Consider the following 20,785-nt stretch of genomic DNA (forward strand, 5'->3'; position numbering starts at 1 on the left):
AACCCCCCAAGGCCACACACCCTGGGTCCATCTGCCCTGCTGTTTCTTCAGGAAAAAACCCAGAATGGAAATGCTGGAGCCCCAGGGGCTGGAGACCGGGGAGAGGTGGCCTGTAAGGCTGTCCCATCACCATCCCCGCACGTCAGAAGCACCGTCACGTTGGAAAAGAATGACGCTTATTCCACCAGTTCTGAAGCCAGATGTCCTCACAACCGAAGCAGCCCTGTTTGTGCTTGGGCTATGACTTGAGGGTAATTAAACTGTCAAAACACCCTCCCTACTATTTCCATTTTCTTGCAGTTGGTGTCATTTAGTCACTGCAGGCTGACAGACTTATTACAGGATTGAGACATGAGAATGAACAGTCAGAAACCTATAAATGAACTCACCACAAATGGCTGCTGGAAAGGAAGAAAACTATCTGTCGATGGGAAAACTCCATCCACTTCAGTCACATTAAAGGAAATCATTTTTAAAGAAAACTTGAATCACATTAACACCACAGATTTCACTGACTGTCCTCCGCAATCTCTCTCTATGTATCTGTGGAATTCCATAGTTGAACTCATGACCATTTTTTAGAGGCAGGGTCAAGCTATGTTGCCCAGGCTGGAGGACAGTGGCTATTCACAGGCTTAATCACAGTACACTACAGTCTTGAGCTCTTGGCCTCAAACCATCCTCTCACTTCAGCATTCTGACTGGCTGGGACTACAGGTGTATGTCACTGGGCCTGGCTAGCCTCATGACCATTTCACAAAAAACACTATCCAATGCTCTCTTCCCTAACTGCACCTTGATGGTCTTGCCGTACCAGCAAATTGTCTTGATCTTGACTATGAACTTTAATGGCCACATAATATTCCACAAAGAAGATGGACCATAATTCAATCATCGTTTTCTTTGGAGCTCCCTTAACCACCCCCTTGCCACATTCAATCACAGGGGCACCACACTCAGCTGAGGCCACCTCCTGCCAGCCAGCCAGCCAGCCCTTCCTTCCCCCAGGCCTACAGTGCTGCCTCAGCCTAGGCTTTTACATTTTCTCCACCGTTCTACAGTTCCTAAAGAGCAGGGAGGATTCTCACCCACACCCTCCACCTGTGTGAACACAGTGGCTGGAGCTAGTTAGCTCATGTTTTCAGAGTGAGTGAATAAATGAATGAAGACAATTTTTTCCTCTCTACCCAGGAAAACATATTGGTGGGACCCTGCCAGCATCCTGATGGGGAAGGATTTGGGGTTGGGCATTTAGGGAGCTCTTTCTGCTGCTGCTGCATCTTGGCTGACACTATATGCATAGATTACACAGAATGAGGAGTGCTTTTCTGCACACCGTTTCATTTTGCAGTTAAGGTGCTGAGGTTTAGAAGGGACCGTGGCCTACCCTGGGTCTCACAGACCTCAGGCCTCTTAACTCCCTGACCAGGGCCTCTTCCTCAAACCACAGCTACTCCACACTCCTCCCACTTTCCAGCCTCTGCACAACCCGGCCAGGCCCTGAGCCCTTCGGCCAGCAGCTGCAGCCTTTGGGTCCTGGTTCCTGGGCTGGCCTGGAGCCCCACCTCTGAACCTCAGCCTCCTGCTGACTTTGCCAGCCCCTTTCCACCACGTTCAGAGTTCTGCCCCAACCCACACCAACCCCCAGGACCACAATGCTGCCAATTTCCTCCCCTCCCCGACCAGAAGCCTCTTTGCAATGCACAGATTCTCTGCTTTCCCATGCTCATCAGTGATGCTGGTCCCAGCAGGAGCGCCATGCGAGCCCCCCTACACCCCAGAATATGAGCCACTGCCCCCCCTGCCCCAGTGGGTGAGTCTGGGTCCTCTAAATCCCTCTGCTTTTTCATCTTCATTAACAGGCATCCCACGCCTGAACCCACTTCCCCTCTCAGACCAGCAGAGGAAAAATGGGGCTCTGCTGAAAATTCACTAACACCCACCCTGCTTTGTGCAGATGCCTGCACACCTTGGCACTGCCCGGACAGCCTCAGGCATGACATTTACCCTGTGGACCACATGGGACATTGGGATTCCTCGGCTCCTCTCTCTCCCTGGACTGCCAAACTCTGTGTGGCCCTCCTCTCAGTCCCCACGCCCCCAGGGCCCATGCCACAGATAGTCTGGGATCTGAGCAGACAGCTGCAGCAGGGTGAAGCCACCCTCAGGGGAGGCAGGTGTCCAGACCAACAGCAGACAGGACCCTGCAGACCCCATTCTTTTGTTCACTATTACTCTGTCTAGGAAACAGCTGAATTCTTCCCAAGCTCAGCACTGTTAACAAATGATCCAGCCCTGGACCTGACAGGGAAATGATGGAAACTGTACACTACCGGGAGCCCTGGGAGCCTGCTTTCATATGACAGTCTGGATATCCTGGGATCAGCCACACCGTTGCAGGCCTGCAAGAAGTATAAAATGAAAAACGGATGGCAAACCAAGTCTACATTTTGGTCAGAGAAGATGCGCTGGGACCAGCAGCCACTCGCTGTAGAGAGCTGGGGGCTTACTTATTCTTAATCCAAATGGCTCTTCCGTGGGAAGCCTTCCTGGAGTTGTGCACCAGATGGAGTCTCCTACTTACATGGTTTCCTAGCATTCTCAACTTTCTCTCCCTCGCACTCATGATGGTCAGTCACTATAGAGTTGTTTGCGTGAAAGCTCACACGGGTGCTGGAGCTGTGCATGCAGCGGTGACTGAGGGCAGGTGTCCAGGCTGTGCAGTGTTTTGAGCTCCTGCAGGCGCCTCAGCAGGTGTGCAGTAAATATGGGCCAAGACAGCAATTCAGGCAGGTCTGCGCTCCAGGCTGTGACTGTAGTTGTGATGTATTCCGACCCTGGTTTACCAGGCTGCAAACCTGGGAGCTCCCACAGTTCATCCAGCCTGAGGATGAGGGCCGGGCATCTACTTGGTGCCTGAGACCATGAGTCCTGTACACAGCCCCGTGGGGAGCCCAGTGTAAACATGGAGCATTAAAGCTGGTAAAGCCCCTGGCAGGGGACCCAGGGAGAAAGTGGAGATGTGAAGCAGCCAGAGACAACTTCACTATGGGTACAACACAGAGCAGCACCTTGGAGGAAGGCATTTTCCAGGCAGAAGGAGGGCGTGTGCAGGCCTCAGTGCGATGCAGGACTAGAGAGAGGAGGTCGCTCAAACTGGACACAGAGGAGCGGGGATGGGTCTGAGGAAGCTGTGAATGCGTCCTCAGTCCTCAGCTAGGGACTGTGGACTTACACTGTGAGCCAGGTGAGCTGGCAGAGACCCTGCCGCAGAAAAATAGCACGGCCGATGTGCTTCTGTTTTTTGTTTTTTAAGACCCTTCTGATAGCCAAGTGGAAGACAGAGGAGCTGGTGGAGACCAGTGGCCAGCAGGCACTGCTCCAGGGTGAGATAAGGGATGTGGCAGATCTAATCGCCTGGTTGCTGGGGATTCTCCCAGACAGATGGAGCGGGGTTAGGTGGGGTGTGGGGCTGTGCAGAACAGAGGGATGGGACCAGAAAGGAGTGCACATAGGGATGCATTCTCTTCTCAAAACCCTGGCATGCCAGGGTTCAAAAGAATTATGCAGCTGCAGGCACAGTCTCAGCACCTCACCTACTCACCACAAGAGCCCCAGTTCACATGAGTGGTAGACTCTGAGCTCGGCCAGGACCACGGACCAGGGACATGTGGCCTTCTGCACTGGGGGCAGTGGGGCCTCCCATGCCAAGTGGGGCAGGGGCTGCTCCTCCCTGTACTAAAACCTCTCTGACTGATCCAGATGAGACCCAGTGAGTGGCGGCTTTCATCTCTCATTTTAACAGAAATTTTGCACTTTACCCTATGATGCAGCACAAATCTGAAACGATTCAAATATTTCCAAATATCAAAGGCTAAAATCCACTTACGGATTCAAAATGGTACTAACCTGACTGTAAGTTTAAGGCACAGCTCTCAGTGAACTGCTGTGGAAAATATATATTTTTCTGAGCAACATTTTTTAAAATAAAGAAAATTCTTTCTGAAAGGAAAACCCTGTGGAGTATCTGGTGGAAAAAAGCTGTAAAAGAACAAATATGCAAATGACTTTGCATCTTGATAACAGCCTGTTCTCAGGAAAACAGAAGAGAGAAGATAATTTTCTCCTATTACATTCAATCCCTCTACTTCTCTCCTATTTAAAAACCACTTTATTGAGGTCTGACTGACAGGCAAAAAGCTGTGCATGTTTAAGACCTACAACCTGATGAGTTTAAAGACAGGGGCACATCCAGAAAACCATAGCCATGCTCTATTCCATAAACATCTCTATTACCTACAAAAGTTTTCTCTGCTCTTCTTGTTATTTTTGTGTGATAAGAACATATATTAACATAAGACCTACCCTCTTAGCAAAATTTTAATTATACATTACAGTTGTATTAATTGTAGGTCCTACACTGTACAATAGATCTCTAGGACTTATTCATTTTTCTTAACTGAAACTTTGTAAAAGCGAAGGCATCCACTGCTCCTAGAACTGACCACCTATCCACAGTGTGCAATCAATAGACAGTCCCATCCCCAGGCTCCCAGGTGGAAACTGTGGCTGGGAGCATGGCGGTGCAGACATCAGCAACACCCCTCTGCCCAGCCTCACTCTACACCTGGCCAGAAGACCAGCGCTCTGATGAGCCGAGCCAGCCCAGCCCTCCAGGACCCTTGGCTCCCCGCTGTCATCAGAGAGCTCCCTGGCCTGTGTCCTAAGGAAGTCCACACCACCCACCACAGTATGTAGGAGTTTTAGATGGCTAAGGCAATGTTTTACAAGAATTAAGAAACAGCTAATTCATTTTGACCCTGGGATGTCACTTTGGGTGTTATGCACTAAACAGACTACATGTGACCTGTACAAGAATGTCTATTGCTATGGTCTTTGTAAGTATTTGGAATACTAGTAACTGCACAATGAATACTTGTTGAATGCATGAATAAAAGACAAAACATGAGAAAACAAAACAAATTATCAGCAATAATAAAATATCTAAGCAAATTACCATTTAGTAACATAATTAGTATCTAGTCCAGAAGCACTAAAAATGGCAGGGGTATTACCGCTCCTACACAGAAATTTATATGTGAAATAATGTTTAAGGAAAAGGGCAGAGAGCAAATAATACGCTTATACAAACTGCATCATATCACGTGCATATGTGGCACACTGATAACTGTAAGAATATGAGGTGACGGGCGTGCGATATACCTTACATTTGTTATCTGCACAAATGCACAATGGAGCTGGTCATCAGAACTAAAAAAATGAATAACACACCTGAGCGCTCTCTTCTGGCAGTACCCTTTCTGCAGCAGTACCCTTTATAAATGTTGGCAGACGACACACACTGTGGGGAGGAGAGACAAGGACAGGGCTGGCTGACCTGGGCCGGGATTTGGGGGCTGCCTGGTGTAGGACACATTGAAGGCTGGCTCCTCGATCAGCGGCGGGGGGTACATGCGCCTCCGGATGAAGAAGCCGGCTCCGCAGCAGAAAAGCACGCCCATCATCAGAAGGAACCTGAGGAGAGTACAGACGTGAGGGTGGTGCTCCCAGGTGGGGGCCCTGAGGGCTTGGCCCTACAGCTCAAAGGCCTCATGCACTCCTCGGGGGTCCGGGACCAATGACTCCCAAATGCACGAGTCAGAAGGCAAGGGCAGAGCCATGAGGCTCGCACCTCAGACTTGGTCCTCTTGGGCCCATTTTACCCAGGGACATTCCTCTAGTGGATAGCAACAAGTAGATGCTTGACCTGCGGCCTCTGGGACAGCCCCTGGTGAGGCCACCCACCCTGAAAAGCACCGTAAAAGAAAAAGCTCATGCAGTCACTTCCTCGTCCACGGCTCTGACCTCAGCTCGACATTTTAGTTAGAAGAGGAGATGCCATCTAAATCCTGTCTGAAAGCCATGGCCGATCCAGCCTTGGCCTCGCTGTCTGTCTCTGTTTTCCATTCTTCACTGTCAAAGCACCAAGGCAGAGCACATTTATCCTCCAGACCACGTCTCCATTATCACATCAACACCCACAAGGAAACAGAAGTACCCTTCCTGGAGCACACCTTAATTACAGAGAAACTATGGGAATAGAAATACAATCAATGAAAATAGAATCAAGAGAAATACAATCTATCAATAGAAATAAAATACAAACAATAACAGAAGCAGAGCTGAACTCTTTAAGGGTAGCACCTTTGTCCAACCCATCTGTGAATTCTCATTGACTATCACTTCATCAGCATTCAGTAAACGACTGCAGAATGAACACATGAATGGCTTCCTTCCATTCCTCACTTGCACCATACTTTTTGTTTCTAGAAAAAGAGGAGAGTCACTTTGAGAAGAACTAGTAGTAGACAAAACTGGCAAACTGGCAAACTCTTGCCCATCTCTGAACTGAAATTATGAGGGGACCCATGGAACTGTCCAGAAGCCATGCAGACACCCACACGGTGAGGGCACCTGCTGCCCTGTGAGGATGGGCACACAGCAGAGCGGGTCGCAGTCAGTGGCACTGGTCCACATATAAAAGAAGCTCTTAAGAGCGTACGATAAAGCCTTTGAGAATATTAATGTGATGTCAAGGCCTTCAGCCAGTCCAAAAGTATTTACTGGATAATCTTGGAAGGCTGAGCAGGGAGAAAAGCCAGAGGCACGAGACAGGAATGACTCAGGAAAGACTGAAACTGTGGCCTTTGTCATCTGCCGTCTAATTCATTATTCATTCAGCAAGTCATCTTCAGGTGCCTGCTATGCCCTGTCACCATACTGATCACAGCAATGAGTAGACAGGTGAGGGGCCCCCCGACCCCGCCAACACTGAGCTTACAGAGGAGGGAGACAGATACCAACTTTTACAATTATTTATCTACAACCTGGTAAGTGCTAAAAAAGAAAAATGAGCGATGCAAGAAGAATACTGTGTGTGTGATTGGGTAAAATATACATAAATATAATTTACTATTTTAATCATTTTTAAGTGTATAATTCAGTGCACCAAGAGGTTTGAACAAGGGTATCTGTGGTGGTGAGCAAGACTGGGAACACTGCATTTCTTTTAGTGACAGCTGGGCTGGGCTCTGAAGAATGAGAAGAGACAAGCTGAAGGGGAAGAAGGGGCATTCTGGGTGGAAAGAACACAGAGCAGGTACTGGGGCCGGAGAAGGTGGGAGCAGGAGGCCTGGAGGCTCAGTCCCCATGATGGGCGGAGGGAGCGGCCATGGGGAGCCCGGAGACCCAAACCGTTCAGGAGTGTGGTGATGTAAGGCTTAATGTGCTCGGCATCAAGAACACTCACTAAGTTCCCAAAGGGAACGGCTTCCTCTCCTAAAACCGATTTCCCTCAGGTGGGCTCAGTGACAGTCTTACACTCAGCACTGAGTCCTGCTGTTAGTATCTGGGTAGAAATATACAAAGCACAGAGAGGCTGGATGTGTACAGGGTTTACTTTCTCAGAGCCACTGGCCACTTCCAAGAGACCAGGCTCGCTGGATTGAAAAATGCAGAAGGCACCTGAGATCTTAGTCTTGTCTAAAAAATAAGCTAAAATGTCGGTTCCACTGCCAACAGTAGTAAGAACATTTTGTTTTTCTACACAAAAGGAAATGACATTGCAGCTCCCACCTTAGACTAATGGTGAGCAAGCATAAGGCGAGGCTGGAATGGAGTTACACGGGATCCACTTCATCCCTTACTGAAATCATAGTCTGATAACTTATTCTGTTCATTTATGTTTATTTTAAAAATTTATTTAAAATAATTTTTGGTAGAGACGGAGTCTCACTATGTTGCCGAGTGATCTCAAATTCCTGGCTTCAGTGATCCTCCCACCTTGGCCTCCCAAAGTGCACCATTGTGCTAGGCCAAGAACTTATTTTAAAAGAGAGAAACTAACAAAGGGGCAGGAGAAAGCGCTTCTAAAAACAAGGAAAGAGACGAAGCAGGGTGTTGGCTGGGAGAGAGGAGTAGTAGTAAGAAAGGCAGTTCTTGCAGTGCTGGGGGTACGGGCTGGCTGTTCCCTAGATGTCCTCTTTGGTTGCTCAGCAGGTTTTGGAAGCTTTCAAAGGGATTAAGAGAGGAAGGTTTGTGCCTTTTTTTTAACATTAGAAGTTACCTGGTTACTTTAATTCAATTTGTTTTTTGATTCCTCCCCCCGACCCCCCAGCCCCGAGTGTAGCAGTTCTCAATTCTGCAGTCCCAAGGACTGGTGCAGCTACTGTGCAAGCCCTGCCCAGACCCCACTCAGGACTCCGCATGGGACCCTGCTGTGGACTCACCCACAGTGCCACCTAGGCTAGTTCTCACTCGGGCCCACTGTGCTTTCTGAGTCCACTCAAGGGTGCCATCGGTCCACCTTCTCTACTCTTGATTCCATCCAGACCTCCTTGGTGAAAAGATCCTCAAGATCTTGGAGTTGGCAGGAACTCTGAAGGCATTCTCTTTCAAAACCTTTGTTTTATGGTCAGGAGACACCTTCAAACGTTGTGGGGCCCAGGCAGCAGAGCAGCCCCTCCCTCCCATCCTGCCGCCACTCCTGTCCACCAAATGCTCATCCTCACCACAGAAGCTTCCCATCACCTTTTAACACATCCACTCTTCTTACACTCTGGCCCTGCAAGGTGCTGTCCCTCTGCCCCAAACGCCCTCTCTGACGACCCAGTCAAAAGCTTTGTAGCTTTCTCCAACTTTTCTGGCTTCAGAAGTTCTGTGCTCTGGCTTGAAAGTATCCACACCTCATTATCTGCTTAGACATCATCTTCTTCAGGAGTCTGCCTGCCTAAAGCCTCTCCATAAAACCCCAGCACAATGCCTGGTGTATATCAGACCCGATGTTGATTGAGAGAGAAAATGCATGGGGTGAACCCAGGTGCCCTTTGTATTTCGGGTGGGGCACTGTAAGCTCACACCCCCAGGTGCTCCCTGGCTACAACGCCAGCTTGGAACCCTGTGTCGGAATCTCAACATTAATGACTCAGCCCCATCTTCTGGCATCTGGCACTCAGATCTTCCAACAGCCTGACCTTATGCAATGGGACTTGTGGGAGCTTCTCCAAATGGGGCCCACCAAGTCGTCGTGTGCTGCCTCGCCAAGGTGTCCTGCCTCTGACAGGTGACCCTGGCCAGCAGCTAGGAAGCACCTGGCTGCCAGTGCAGCTACAGCTTCTGGGCAGCTCCACAGAAGCTGCCAGGCCCTAAAAGTTCAGCTGGACTTTCTCAAACTTCTCTTCTTTTTGATCATCCAATGCCTGAACGCTGACCAGCTTTTTCATTTTTTACAAGCATTCTCACGCCCTCATCATCATTCATCTAGTGCTTTAGACCAACCCAAAATCCTTACAAGCCCGTTCACAGTTCAGGGTTTCACACTCCAGACGGTCCGCCTCCTTCCACTCCAAGGTCCCAGGAGGAGGCTCCGGAGCAAGGCCTGCCCTGAAGCTGGGTCTTGCCCCTGACACTGGGCCCTCCCCGTCTCTGGTACTGGCCCCCTCAATCTGGAGATGCACACAGAGCCGTTAACCTTTGAACAGTCTTAGGCTACAACAATTATTCTTCTGTTACAGAGTTTTAGGAAATGGCACCTCTGCAGTGTGGGGACCTGACACCAGCTCCCTTGTTAGGGGGGTACACCTAGGTGGGGCTTACCGGGCTGGTCCTAAGGGAGGCCTGGCCAGCAGCTGTAAGGTCAGGTGAGGCCAAGGAGGTGGTGAGGTGATGATGAAAGAAGGCATCACTATTAAAGAACATCCTCGTCACCCAACACGTGGAGTCCCCACTCCCTATAGGCTTCCCTAATCAAACCCTGGGCACAGGTGTTAAGGGAGAAAGATAAAACCGCATAAAAATTCAGGTGGCTGCTGTCACATGCTCAGTAAGGTCTTAAAGCCTCAAAAGGTCAGTAAAGTCAAAATCTTAACATCATAAAAAAGCTTGCATCATGCAGAGAGCAAACTCTAAACTTTTTTGAAGTTCACTGAAGGGCATCACCACTGCATGGGAGAAGAAGAGCAGGTGGGTACAAGAAATGCTGCTTTGGTTTATAAATCCTTTCCCACACGTGCTCTGCCACCCTCTCATCTGAAGCAATACCTGTCATCTCCAGAGTCTAACAGATGCTCGGGGCACTCCAGCAGGCGTCCTGAGGCTCCCGCCCACAGGAGGCTCCCCCCATGGAATGTGCTCCCACCCTTCCAGGATGCTGCAGGCATGGAACCAGTTCCTACTCAAGGAGCAGACTTTGGACTGCTCCGTATGCGCCCCAGAGGAGCTGGAGGCAGCTGGGTGCAGGCTGCCTATCTTGAAAGCGAAGAGTCAGCCAACACAAGATGGATGGGGAAGAGTCTGGACAATGAAAACTCGATCGCCTGCCAGTCTCAGTTGGGTGATTTTCTGATTCTTCAAGACAATCAGCCTTGGCTCCATTTCAGAAACTGGCCGAGGAGCTGCTGAAGGATGAGGCTGTTGTCCAGCCACCTTACCAGAAGCAGAGCTCTTCTTCCCACTCCAAAATCCGTGAAAACAAAAACAGGCTTCCCACAAACCCCATGCGTGCAACTGCCGGTCATGAAGCCAACCCAAACATACCCATTTTCCTGACCAAGGCTGTCCTTGAGGCCACCACCCAAGTGAAGGTGTCGCATCCAAGGCTGTGACAACACTGATGGGGGGGGGGGGGGGGCAGAGCTCTCGGGGTAGGGAACAAGGAGGAGTTGTGACCTACCAGAAGTACCACAGCCTCTGTATGGAGAGGGCCCGCACACAGCACCTGGAGCCACAGCAGTCCTCGTAGGAGCGGCATCTGTGGAGAGAGGCACAGGCTGGTCAGCACTGAATTGGAAGCAGCCACCGGACCAGCCATGCGGCCCAGGCTGGGCTTCAATGTAATCATTCTTGAAGGAAGAAATCAGTAAGAGCAAAAAGGACAGAACTGCCTCCACTGCATTTCACAGAACCAGCAGAGCAGAATGACATCAGCCTGTGGCCCAAAGCAAGGTGCTGAGGTGGGCACAGTCAGGGTGATGCAAAGCCCTGCATTTAACAAGCATCCTGTGTGCCAAATCCAATGGATTCCTTCCGGGAGGTGGCACAACCAAAGACAGACATTAAGCCTACCAGGACTGCTGCTGGGAGGAGGCTCCACAGGAGCCCAGCACCCACGTGGTGCTCATCCCTGCTGTCTTCAGTCCCCGACTACGGGGAAAAGATGGAAATACCCCACCACATCCACTGAGGCTAAAAGCAGAGGCTGTGGAGTTAGATAAATTGCAGGTGTGGTCCTGGTCCTGCCACTTACTAGTTGTGGGGACTTCTGGCGAGTCTCAGTTTCTCCATCAGCAAAATGAGTGGAACTGCAGGGGCCCTGCACAGTACTGACTTAAGTTTTAAGGCCTTTCTCACCATATAAAGTGCTGATGGCACTATCACTGCTCACGCTGCCTCCCTCCCCTCATCCCCCAACGTGTCTGAGGTTTCCGGGCCCCTGGCAGGCCACAGCTCTCAGGGGTGTGCTCAGAAGCTGTTCCCAGAGAGCTGCCTGAGCATGGGCAGGTGAGGCACTCAGGTGAGGCACTCGGTGCCCTCGACATCCCTGCCCTGCCCCAACCCCACGTCCTCCTTGAAGAGAGAAGATGCCATGAAAGTGCAAACCCTTCCGTTTTACAGAGAAGTTTTCACTAGAGCGTTTCGAGCCCAAGCAGCAATGGATTGGCAGGGATGTGGGGAGGGCCACTTCTCTACAATATTAAACCATTACCTAATTGTGATCTAGGTTCCTGCCAGTTTTTTTCCTTTAAAAAAAAGTACCTGGGAGAAATATACAATTCAGCCTAAGGTCTTGGGCACTGAATGTGTAGATTATTGCAGTACAAATAGGCTTGTTTTATGTAGAAGTATGTGTAGAAAACTAGTTAAGATGCAAAGTGAGATAACAGCGGCCTGGAACTCAGCAGACCCAAGCTCCAAAGCTGCTCTTCCCTGGTTGTGCACCCAGTAGGCCCAAAGCTCCTGGAGGTGGTGCTGCCTCTTTGTAAACACCCCGCACCCAACGGCAGCTAAATCCTCTATTGTTTCAAGGACAAACTGGGCTGAGAGACACTCCCTCCCCACTCCACCCCCACGCCATTCCACAGACAATATGGCAGCATTCATGTACAGTCTTCCCCTGGCCCATGAACATGAATCCCTACCCAGTACCCAAAGTGTTGTGATTTCCATGAAATGCTCCCATTGGCTCCCACTGAGAGTTACCTAAATGAGTGCTCAAGAATGTTGCTGGTCCTGGCCGGGTGCAGTGGCTCACACCTGTAATCTCAGCACTTTGGGAGGCCAAGGCAGGTGGACCACTTGAGGTCAGGAGTTCGAGACCAGCCTGGCCAACATGGTGAAACCCTGTCTCTACTAAAAATACAAAAATTAGCTGGGCATAGTGTGTGCACCTGTAGTCCCGGCTACTCAGGGAACTGAGGTAGAAGAACTGCTTGAACCCAGGAGGCAGAGGTTGCAGTGAGCCAAGATCGTGCCACTTGCACTCCTGACACTCCATGCATCCACCAAGGGGCTACTAGGAGCCTGCTCTGTGCTTTCCTGAGGGTGGAGCAGGGAAAACCCAGAGGAAACCCCTGCTGGGGAGGAGCTTTCTCTCTAGAAGGGGGAGAAAATAGTAAACGAGAAAACATAAACTGTGTTAGACAGTAATAAGTTCTTCTGTGGTGAAAAATGGAGCCGGCACCGGCAGGTTGAGAGCACGAGGCAGCAGGGTGCTCAGGGAGGACATGTGCAGGAGGTGACGTCTGAAAAGAGAGCACGCAGGAATCCAGTCTGCCAATGAGGGAAGCTGACACAGGGTCTCAGTGCTCGGGACGGGGGAATGCTGGTACCCCTGGTTCCACGGCTGCATGCTGGAGATGAGTGCAGGAGCACAGGGTGTGAGGGGGAGTGAGACACCTGGTCTGGCTGTTTCTGCAGGCCAGCGCCCTGCACAAACAGTACCTTCTGCAATTCTCCGAGGCCTTCCCCTAGAATCTCACTGGTGTCGGTTGATCAATGTGTGTGTGCCTGTGTGTGTGGAAGAGAAGGGAGCAGTCGAGGGAGATGAAGGACTTCTTGCTTTTAGGGTGGATGGAGTTCAGACAATTAACTGTAAACTAAAAGAGGTGGGACCGTTTCCTCTCACGAATGTGCAAAGACAGGCGTCCTCAGCACTCCAGTGAGGTTCATGGTGAGTTTAGGAGTGTGGAAGGCAGAATGCAACCATGGCCCGAAGAATTGCACCCCTCAGAGAACCCACCCTGCATAATCCCCTCCTCTTCAGTGGGCAGGACCCTGTGAATACCAGATGGCCACTCCCACAATCACAGAACATTCAACGAGATGGTGTGTTATCTAAGTCTCTGCCCTTGCAGACTGGAGATTCTCCTGCTGGCTTTGAAATAGTATTAATAGCAGCCACGTGAGAGGGCCATGTAGCCAGGACTGAGTGTGGTCTGCAGGCACCAACAGCAATCCCAGCAGGACCTCAATCCTACAACCACAAGAAACCGAATTCTGCCAACAACCCAAATCAATTCGGAGGACTCCAAGCTCCAGGTGAGAATGCAGTGCAGCCCACTGCTTAATCTCAGCCTTGTGAGGTGGCCCTGAGCCCAGAACCCAAATGTGCTTTCCCAGACTTGAGATCTACAGAGCTCTGCAGTAATAAGGGTGTGCTGTTTCAGTCTGCTACGTTTATAGTGATTTACTACACAGCCACAGAGTCAAGAAGAACACAGCTTACAGGTTATGAGCACTTCTTATCTTACACCAGGCTAAATGCTTCACAAACGTCTTGTTAATTTTCAAAACATCCACATACAAGATAAAGTATTATTAGTGCCATGTTTGAAATAAGCTTAGAAGCAAGACGTTAGAGATGTTGCACCTCCAGCCCAGGTCACTGTCTGCAGAAGCGAAGAGTGGACTTGGCCAGCATTTCAGGAAAGCATTTTGCACAGATGCTGCCTCTCCAGTAACATGGAGCCTTTCATGACCAAAGGGTCACCTTCTCTATCCCCACTTGATTTTCCTATTCTTCTTTGGCCCTGCTTTTATAACCTGCTGTGGAAATTTCAAAGACCATGGTAACAGAGACAATGTGAAAAAAACAGACCCTTGGGCAAATGACAGGAGGTCCCTGAGACAGGACCCACAGACAGGAACTCAGCAACCACTCTTTAATGGTGCTTGCATGGTTCTTTGTTCAGCTTGGAACTGCATACTGACCAGAAAGATTTCCAGAAAAACCTGTATCATATGATGTCAGCAATGCGCTACAATTAGCAGGTAACTTAATCATAGAGACATATAATAAAGATGCGATATGAGGTGAAAGGACGGCGTCGATTTGTAGTGAATGGCGGATGCCCCCACAACATTAGCTGTTTTCAGCAGACATCCACACACATGCACAAAAATCTATGTGTGCCAGGCTGTGACATAAGGCACACTTCTTCACAGCTGCTGCCAGGGAAGCCCCAAGTTAAAAGTGGACAGGCTCAGTCTTCTGGTGTGTCCAGGACTGGCTCCATTCATCCTCGTGGAAGATTCTGGGTGGCCCTCAGGCTCAGGTCTCCCTGACTGTAAGGTCACTTTCTGCTGTTAACAGTGCTGGGCTAAGGTCTTTCGGTCCTTGTCTTCTGTCTAGGTGGCAATGGCTTTAGTCAAATGGCTCTTACCATTTTTACGCCTAATTCTACTATATATTGTCCTCAAGTGATCAAATTCTAGAAGATACAACACTCATGAATACCCTCTCAAATTGGACACTCAGCTCACTGCCTAGCCATGAACAGCCTCCTCTGCACGTGCTGATGGTGAGGGAGGGGAATAAGGGGGGTGCAGAACAGAGACGACATACACCTGCAGCTTAGGGGGAACTGGCCATGATCCTCTGAGCTCCTGCTAGTTCCCTCCCATTGCTCCACCACCCTCTGCCACCAAGATGCTCCTGTGTGTCTCTCTCTCGGGTTTTACTCCAGACTGTAACAGCTCTTATATCTGTGCTCTAGCTCTGAGCACAGCCAATGCTTAAGAGGTATTAATACTTGGGTCCCTCCAATGCTGGCAGCCATGCACTTGATATAAAAGAGGAAAGCAGGTATACACTAATAAATTTAGTGACTGAATCATTTTTCATGAGCTGAATTTGCTAAAATGCTTCCCTTTCAGCTTTACACTTGTAAGGAAGCATTTGCTGCCTGGAAACCTAAGCCCTATGGCATTCTATTTCCCATGCTGGAGAGAGCAGACTACCAGCTTTCAGACATATGTAGAGCCCTCGTCCAGAATTAACACACATACACCCCTCAGCCTGAGAACATACCCGTCCTAGAATATTTGGAGTATAACGGATTACAAGTTCCTCTTTGTTGGCAAGATACAACATCTATGTGCTCTAGCTCACTTTTCAGAATCCAAATTTGGAACACCAGCAGCAAATACACGCTGTCAACTGATTATCTCTTTCTTCTCTCAAAACACAGGAACCCTTTATGCTCCTTCCATGAGCTGAAGACCCATTCACTCTCCGCATTCTTGCGGCTCATCTGCGGCGCTGGCCCGGCTCCCATTGTGGATGCTGGCAGGCCCCAGCTACTCGAAGGAGCACACAATTACCCAGGTGCTGACACTGTTACCCCTTTTCTGTCTGCTGCTTTCTTCCTTTTGAAGCTGCTGGTAAATTGGGGCCCTAAGCACACACACCTGCTGATGTTCCAAAGAGCTGCAATTACAAAGAGATATTCACTGCAACACTGAGCTTAATTAAAGTAGTAAACATTACCAGGCAGTCGAGCACACTGAAGATGCCTATCATGGATGCATCAAGTCAAATACTCCTACTGCCCTAAGCCTCAGAATGGCAATGCTGCTCCCAAGGACGTCGCAAGACTACACCTTTGCAGAACAGATCAGGATGGAGAAAACAGCAAGGGTTTTTCATCTCGTTCTTCTCTGTGTGCCAGATGTATAAACTGTCAGACTTGCCATAGAAAGGAAGAAACATTACTCTTAACTAAATCCGCTCCACAGCATATCTAATTATAGTCCTGAGACTCTGAAATACACATGATACTTCAAAAGAATGAAAAGATCACGTATAGCAGCAGACATGGGCCCCTGGACTTACTGCCTGTTAGCCAAGTATTCCTTACTGTACCCCTGGATACAAATGTAGATTTCTGCTGAGGTCAGAGAATGGGTAGTCCACTCTGAGCAGCTGCTGACAGGTAATTAGGTATATTATAGAGATAAAAGGGTGCCTGCCTTTTATCTCAATGATAGGACCTGCGGTCCCTGGGATTCGTCATGTAAAAGGAAATGTATGTCTGAGAGTCTACGGGCCACGATTTAGACAGGTGTCAGAGCAACAAACAAATGCAAACAACAGGTGGTCGCTGTGGGAGTTTTTGGAGCCTAAGAAGGAAGCATGTGTTATGCTTAGTCCTGCACAGGAGGAAAGAGGGTATGGCCACTGGACACATTTAATTCTTAGCCTTTGGGTTACATAAATCTCACGAGAAGGAAAGGATAACATACTAGGTCAAGGAATGTTCAGTGTTAGTAAAGTCACAAAATCTTTCTATGTAAAAAAGAAAAAAAGCCAAAAGTCAGTTTGTAAACCTTTCCATGTGTTGTTGCTATGGATGGAAAGTGTCTCCCCTAGACCGGTGTGTTGAAAGGCTACCCCGCAATGGGATGGTGTTAAAAGGTGGGGCTTTTGGAAGGTGATCCGGTTACCAAGGTGAAGCCCTCGTGACAGGGTTGGGGGTCTCTGTAAGAAGAGCCATGAAGAGGGCTTGCTGCTTGCTCCACTCCCCACCACGTGAGGATGGAACAAGACAGTGCCTACGAACCACGGACAGAGCCCTCAACAGACACCAGAGCTGACGGAACCTTGGTCTTGGACTTCCAGCCTCCAGAGCTGTGAGAAATAAACACACATTGTTTAAGCCCCACAGCCTCTGGTATTGCTGTTACAGCAGCCTGAACTTAAGCACCACTTTAGCAGTAATTGTATTTAAAAGGATTTATAGAAAAATCATCTCTGCATCTGGTGGAGCAGCTAAAGTCGGAGTAAAATATTCAGGGTGCGGGTCTGGAGATAGAGTTGGTGGGGACTGTAACTTTTTTGGGGAGTTCGAGAATCCAATCCTTTCTCCTGCCTGCAGGATTAACCCTCAGCAAACCTTTCTCTTCACTAAGCACTTGCTGGTACAACAGCTCCTTTCTCCCATCCAGTCCCAGTCTCTCAATTTGACAGCTGGTCTGTTCTCCTCAATCACACTGCCCCTGCCAGCTAACCCTGCTTTTTACACTACTCATTATTACCTGCATTCTCCACAGAGCTGAGCCCGCAGCACATACTTGAAGGAGGCTTCCCAATTTAGAAGCAGGAAGTACATTCAGGCTTATCACTGGCCTTCGAATTAGCTACCTATGAGAAATTGGGCTCTCCAGAGAAACTAAACACAGAACCCTATAAAGTTTCAGCAGAAAACTCCAAAGGATACATGAGCCTCTGGGGGAGCAGAGGAAGACTCGGTCCTTAGCCACCCAGTGCCCCAGCAAATCTCCTTGTAAGGACTGCAGAGCTCTGTGCCTCACCTGGATCAAGGAATCCACCCGACCATTCAGTGACTGACCTTCCCCTCCAACCTGCCCAGGCAGACGCTGCCACTCCCTGCAGCAAGGCCCCAGGGCAAGTGCCTTCCATGACCATGGGCACTGTTCCTTGTGCAGAATCCAAGGCAGGCCCCACTAGGCTGATTCATGACTCACACAGCCAGTCTTTCTTTCCAATGTCCAAAAGGACTCGCATATTTTCCCAAGCCTTCTCTTCTCCAGGAAACAATGCCTAGCTTGGGCAAAATTATGGTTTCTCTTTATTAGGAAGAATCCCAGTTTACTCTCATTTCCACACTTATTGGAGCTTCAGGCAGGATTAACCTTTTTAACAACTGTGACACAGCCAAATCCTAATAAACCTTCCATCAAAACTTCCAAGTTCTTCTCAGTAAGTTCTGTCTTCTCATGCTGTACGGATGCAGTACAGTCTGGGACCCAAATATAGGACCTTATGCTTATCCATAAAAAGGGTAAACTTATGCAATCTGGCCCATTACTTTTATCCTGTCAAGAGCCTTTGGATCCTCATTCTGTCACTCAAGGCATTCACTATTCCTTCCAGTTTTCTGTCACTGACATGAAGGATATGAGTCAAGTTTTGCTGGGACCCAGGACTGCTGAAGGCCACCCAGGCAACTTTGCTCCTCCTCTCTGTGACAATCACACACATGACTTAGAATGGCCACGTGCAATAATCCACAGTCGGGTCAGGGAGAGACGAGACTGGGGCCTGAAAATGAAGAGGAATCTTTCCATGCCCTGAAGCTGAAATCCAAAACCTGAGACCTTCCCAAAGTCCAGCAGTCTGCCTGCAGAAAGAAAACCAAAGGGAAAGAAAGAAGGTTGCACCACGAAGTGAGTCCTGGCTTAGCTGCAAGGACTCTAGGAGTGCGCAGAAAAGGAGGGTGACGTGGTAAGACGGAAAGGTGACAGCCCATGAGCTCAGCCCAACTCACAGCCAGATGCTCTCTACTCAGATGGAGCAGATCGGTTTCAGCATCGGGATTAAAAAAATGGGCACGTGCATTTTATGGTAGGTGAATTGTACCTTAATTTAGAAAGAGAGAGGGGGAAGGAAAGAAGGAAAAAAGGAAGGAAGGAAGGGAGGGAGGGAGGGAGGGAGGGAGGGAGGGAGGGAGGGAGGGAGGGAGGGAAGGAACTTGTACATATGATCAACATTGCAAGCCTTCCCTATTTTCATTCAAGTCAATGCTAAAGTATTGATGATTAAGTCAATGGTGAATTCCATTAGAGACATTTCTTCTATGTTGAGATTTTACTAATCATAATTTTATAAATACAGCTATTATAACAGTTACAAATCCACCTAACTGGACTATTACTGATCTCAGCAGAGATGCTATCAAACATCTCTATTAAAACAGGACAGTGTCAGATCACTGATGCCCCGTCTCACGGTCCCATAAAAGACCAACCCAATAGGACCTTAGACAGGCAAACCCAAATTAATTTCAATCGAGCACAAAACACCCTTTTAATAATTTCCTGACGCCTTCGAGAGGTCCCCATTGCTCTGGCGACTGTCCTGACAAGCCCACCTCCCATCTCTCACCCAGGTCCTTCTAAAAATCTCAGCCTGGTGGGCTGTTTGTCTCTGGGCACACTGGTGCCCAGGGCATTCCTGCCTCTTCCCTCCTAGACAAGTCATCTGTGATCATCAGGACATTCTCCCACTAACTCTTGCAAGCTCACTTCCCTTTCAGATGACATCACTGCCTCACACTCATCTCTCCCAATGATAAGTCTATTACGCAAAAATGTATTACTCATCACCATTTTTTGAGATGGAGTTTTGCTCTTGTGGCCCAGGCTGGAGTGCAGTGGCACGATCTCGGCTCACTGCAACCTCCACCTCTTGGGTTCAAGTGATTTTCCTGCCTCAGCCTCTCGAGAAGCTGGGATTACAGGTGTGCGCCCCCACGCCCAGCTAATTTTTTATATTTTTGGTAGAGACGGGGTTTCGCCATGTTGGCCAGGCTGGTCTCAAACTCCTGACCTCAGGTGATCCGCCTGTCTTGGCCTCCTAAAGTGCTGGGATTACATGCATGAGCCACTGCACCCAGCCACAAGCTTCTTTTTTTTTTGAGATGGAGCTTCGCTCTTGTTGCCCAGGCTGAAGTTCAATGGTGCGATCTTGGTTCACTGCAGCCTCTGCCTCCCAGGTTCAAGAGATTCTCCTGCCTCAGCCTCCCAAGTAGCTGGGATTACAGGTGTGCGCCGCCATGCCTGGCTAATTTTTGTATTTTTAGTAGAGACGGGGTTTACCCATGTTGGTCAGGCTGGTCTAGAACTCCCAAACTCAGGTGATCTGCCCACCTCAGCTTCTCAAACTGCTGGGATCACAGGCACTTTGAGCCACTGTGCCCGGCCCCACAAGCTTCTTTATAATATTACTTAATACACTTATGCATTTCCAGCCTTAATATGGCATAACCTCCTGGGTCATATCCTGGCTTTGCCTTTAGGAATCCAACCTACCCCAGGAAAGCTCTCTCATTTGAATGAGGCAGCAGAAGTCCCAGCCCATACATGTGGATAAAACTCAAACCAGGAGGTGGTTCAGGCAGAACTCCAGCAGCCTCAAGAAACACCTGTGAGGAGTGCTGTGGAAAGTAGTGGCTCTCAGCACAGGCTCACGTCAGAACTGTCCAGCAGCTTTAAAAACACCCGTGCCTGCTGGCTGGGACACACTCCTCAGGAGATTTCAGTACACGGCAGGGCTGAGAACCAAAGACCTAAATCTGGAGCCCTCTTGCCTGTGACTCTTTTCTTGGTGCTGGGAAGGAACATGTGGTGGGTGAGCTGGTGGGTGGGGGGTGTTGTTCTGGCTTTTCTGAGCAGGTATATTTTTTTTTAACAGCTTTATTGATATATACTTGATATACAAAGAGCTGTGTACAATCTGATGAGTTTGGTCATATGCAAACACCCAAGATACCACCACAATGAAAGTCTAGGCATAATCTGATTACTTGTAATATTGTACGTCTGCGAGAAAATAACATTTTTAATAGAACTTTCATCTTTCCAAACACAAGATTTTAGACCATTTTATCTGTCTTGCTTTCAAGTCAAAAACTTCACAGACCTGACTATG

The 20,785-nt window shown here is 49.0% G+C and overlaps 1 protein-coding gene across 17 annotated transcripts in view, besides 2 other annotated features; it reads right to left on the reverse strand.

The window, feature by feature from the left end:
• The window catches only part of VOPP1 (VOPP1 WW domain binding protein), a 137,539-nt gene that overhangs the window by 51,920 nt on the left and 64,834 nt on the right, over positions 1-20,785 (reverse strand). For 14 of the 17 annotated variants that reach the window (XM_011515539.2, XM_011515546.3, XM_011515540.3 and 11 more), the window contains 2 exons: positions 10,730-10,807; positions 5,399-5,535 (listed from right to left, as the gene is read on the reverse strand). In XM_011515539.2, the coding sequence (XP_011513841.1) occupies positions 5,399-5,535; positions 10,730-10,807 (215 nt within the window). The remainder of the gene's footprint in view (positions 1-5,398; positions 5,536-10,729; positions 10,808-20,785) is intronic. The other 3 variants (NM_001321246.2, NM_001321248.2, NM_001321247.2) reach the window with 2 other exon arrangements.
• Positions 1,466-1,966: an enhancer, noted in NCBI's record as "H3K4me1 hESC enhancer chr7:55556042-55556542 (GRCh37/hg19 assembly coordinates)". NCBI's record gives its function as "activates a minimal SCP1, AML or CMV promoter by ChIP-STARR-seq in naive H9 embryonic stem cells {active_cell/tissue: H9 hESC(naive)}" and the evidence as "EXISTENCE:reporter gene assay evidence [ECO:0000049][PMID:30033119]".
• Positions 6,191-7,390: an enhancer, noted in NCBI's record as "CDK7 strongly-dependent group 2 enhancer chr7:55560767-55561966 (GRCh37/hg19 assembly coordinates)". NCBI's record gives its function as "activates an origin of replication core promoter dependent on BRD2, BRD4, P300/CBP, MED14 and CDK7 cofactors, with strong dependence on CDK7, by STARR-seq in HCT116 cells {active_cell/tissue: HCT116}" and the evidence as "EXISTENCE:reporter gene assay evidence [ECO:0000049][PMID:35650434]".

This window comes from Homo sapiens, chromosome 7 (genome assembly GCF_000001405.40).
Source record: "Homo sapiens chromosome 7, GRCh38.p14 Primary Assembly".
Classification (NCBI taxonomy): domain Eukaryota; kingdom Metazoa; phylum Chordata; class Mammalia; order Primates; family Hominidae; genus Homo; species Homo sapiens.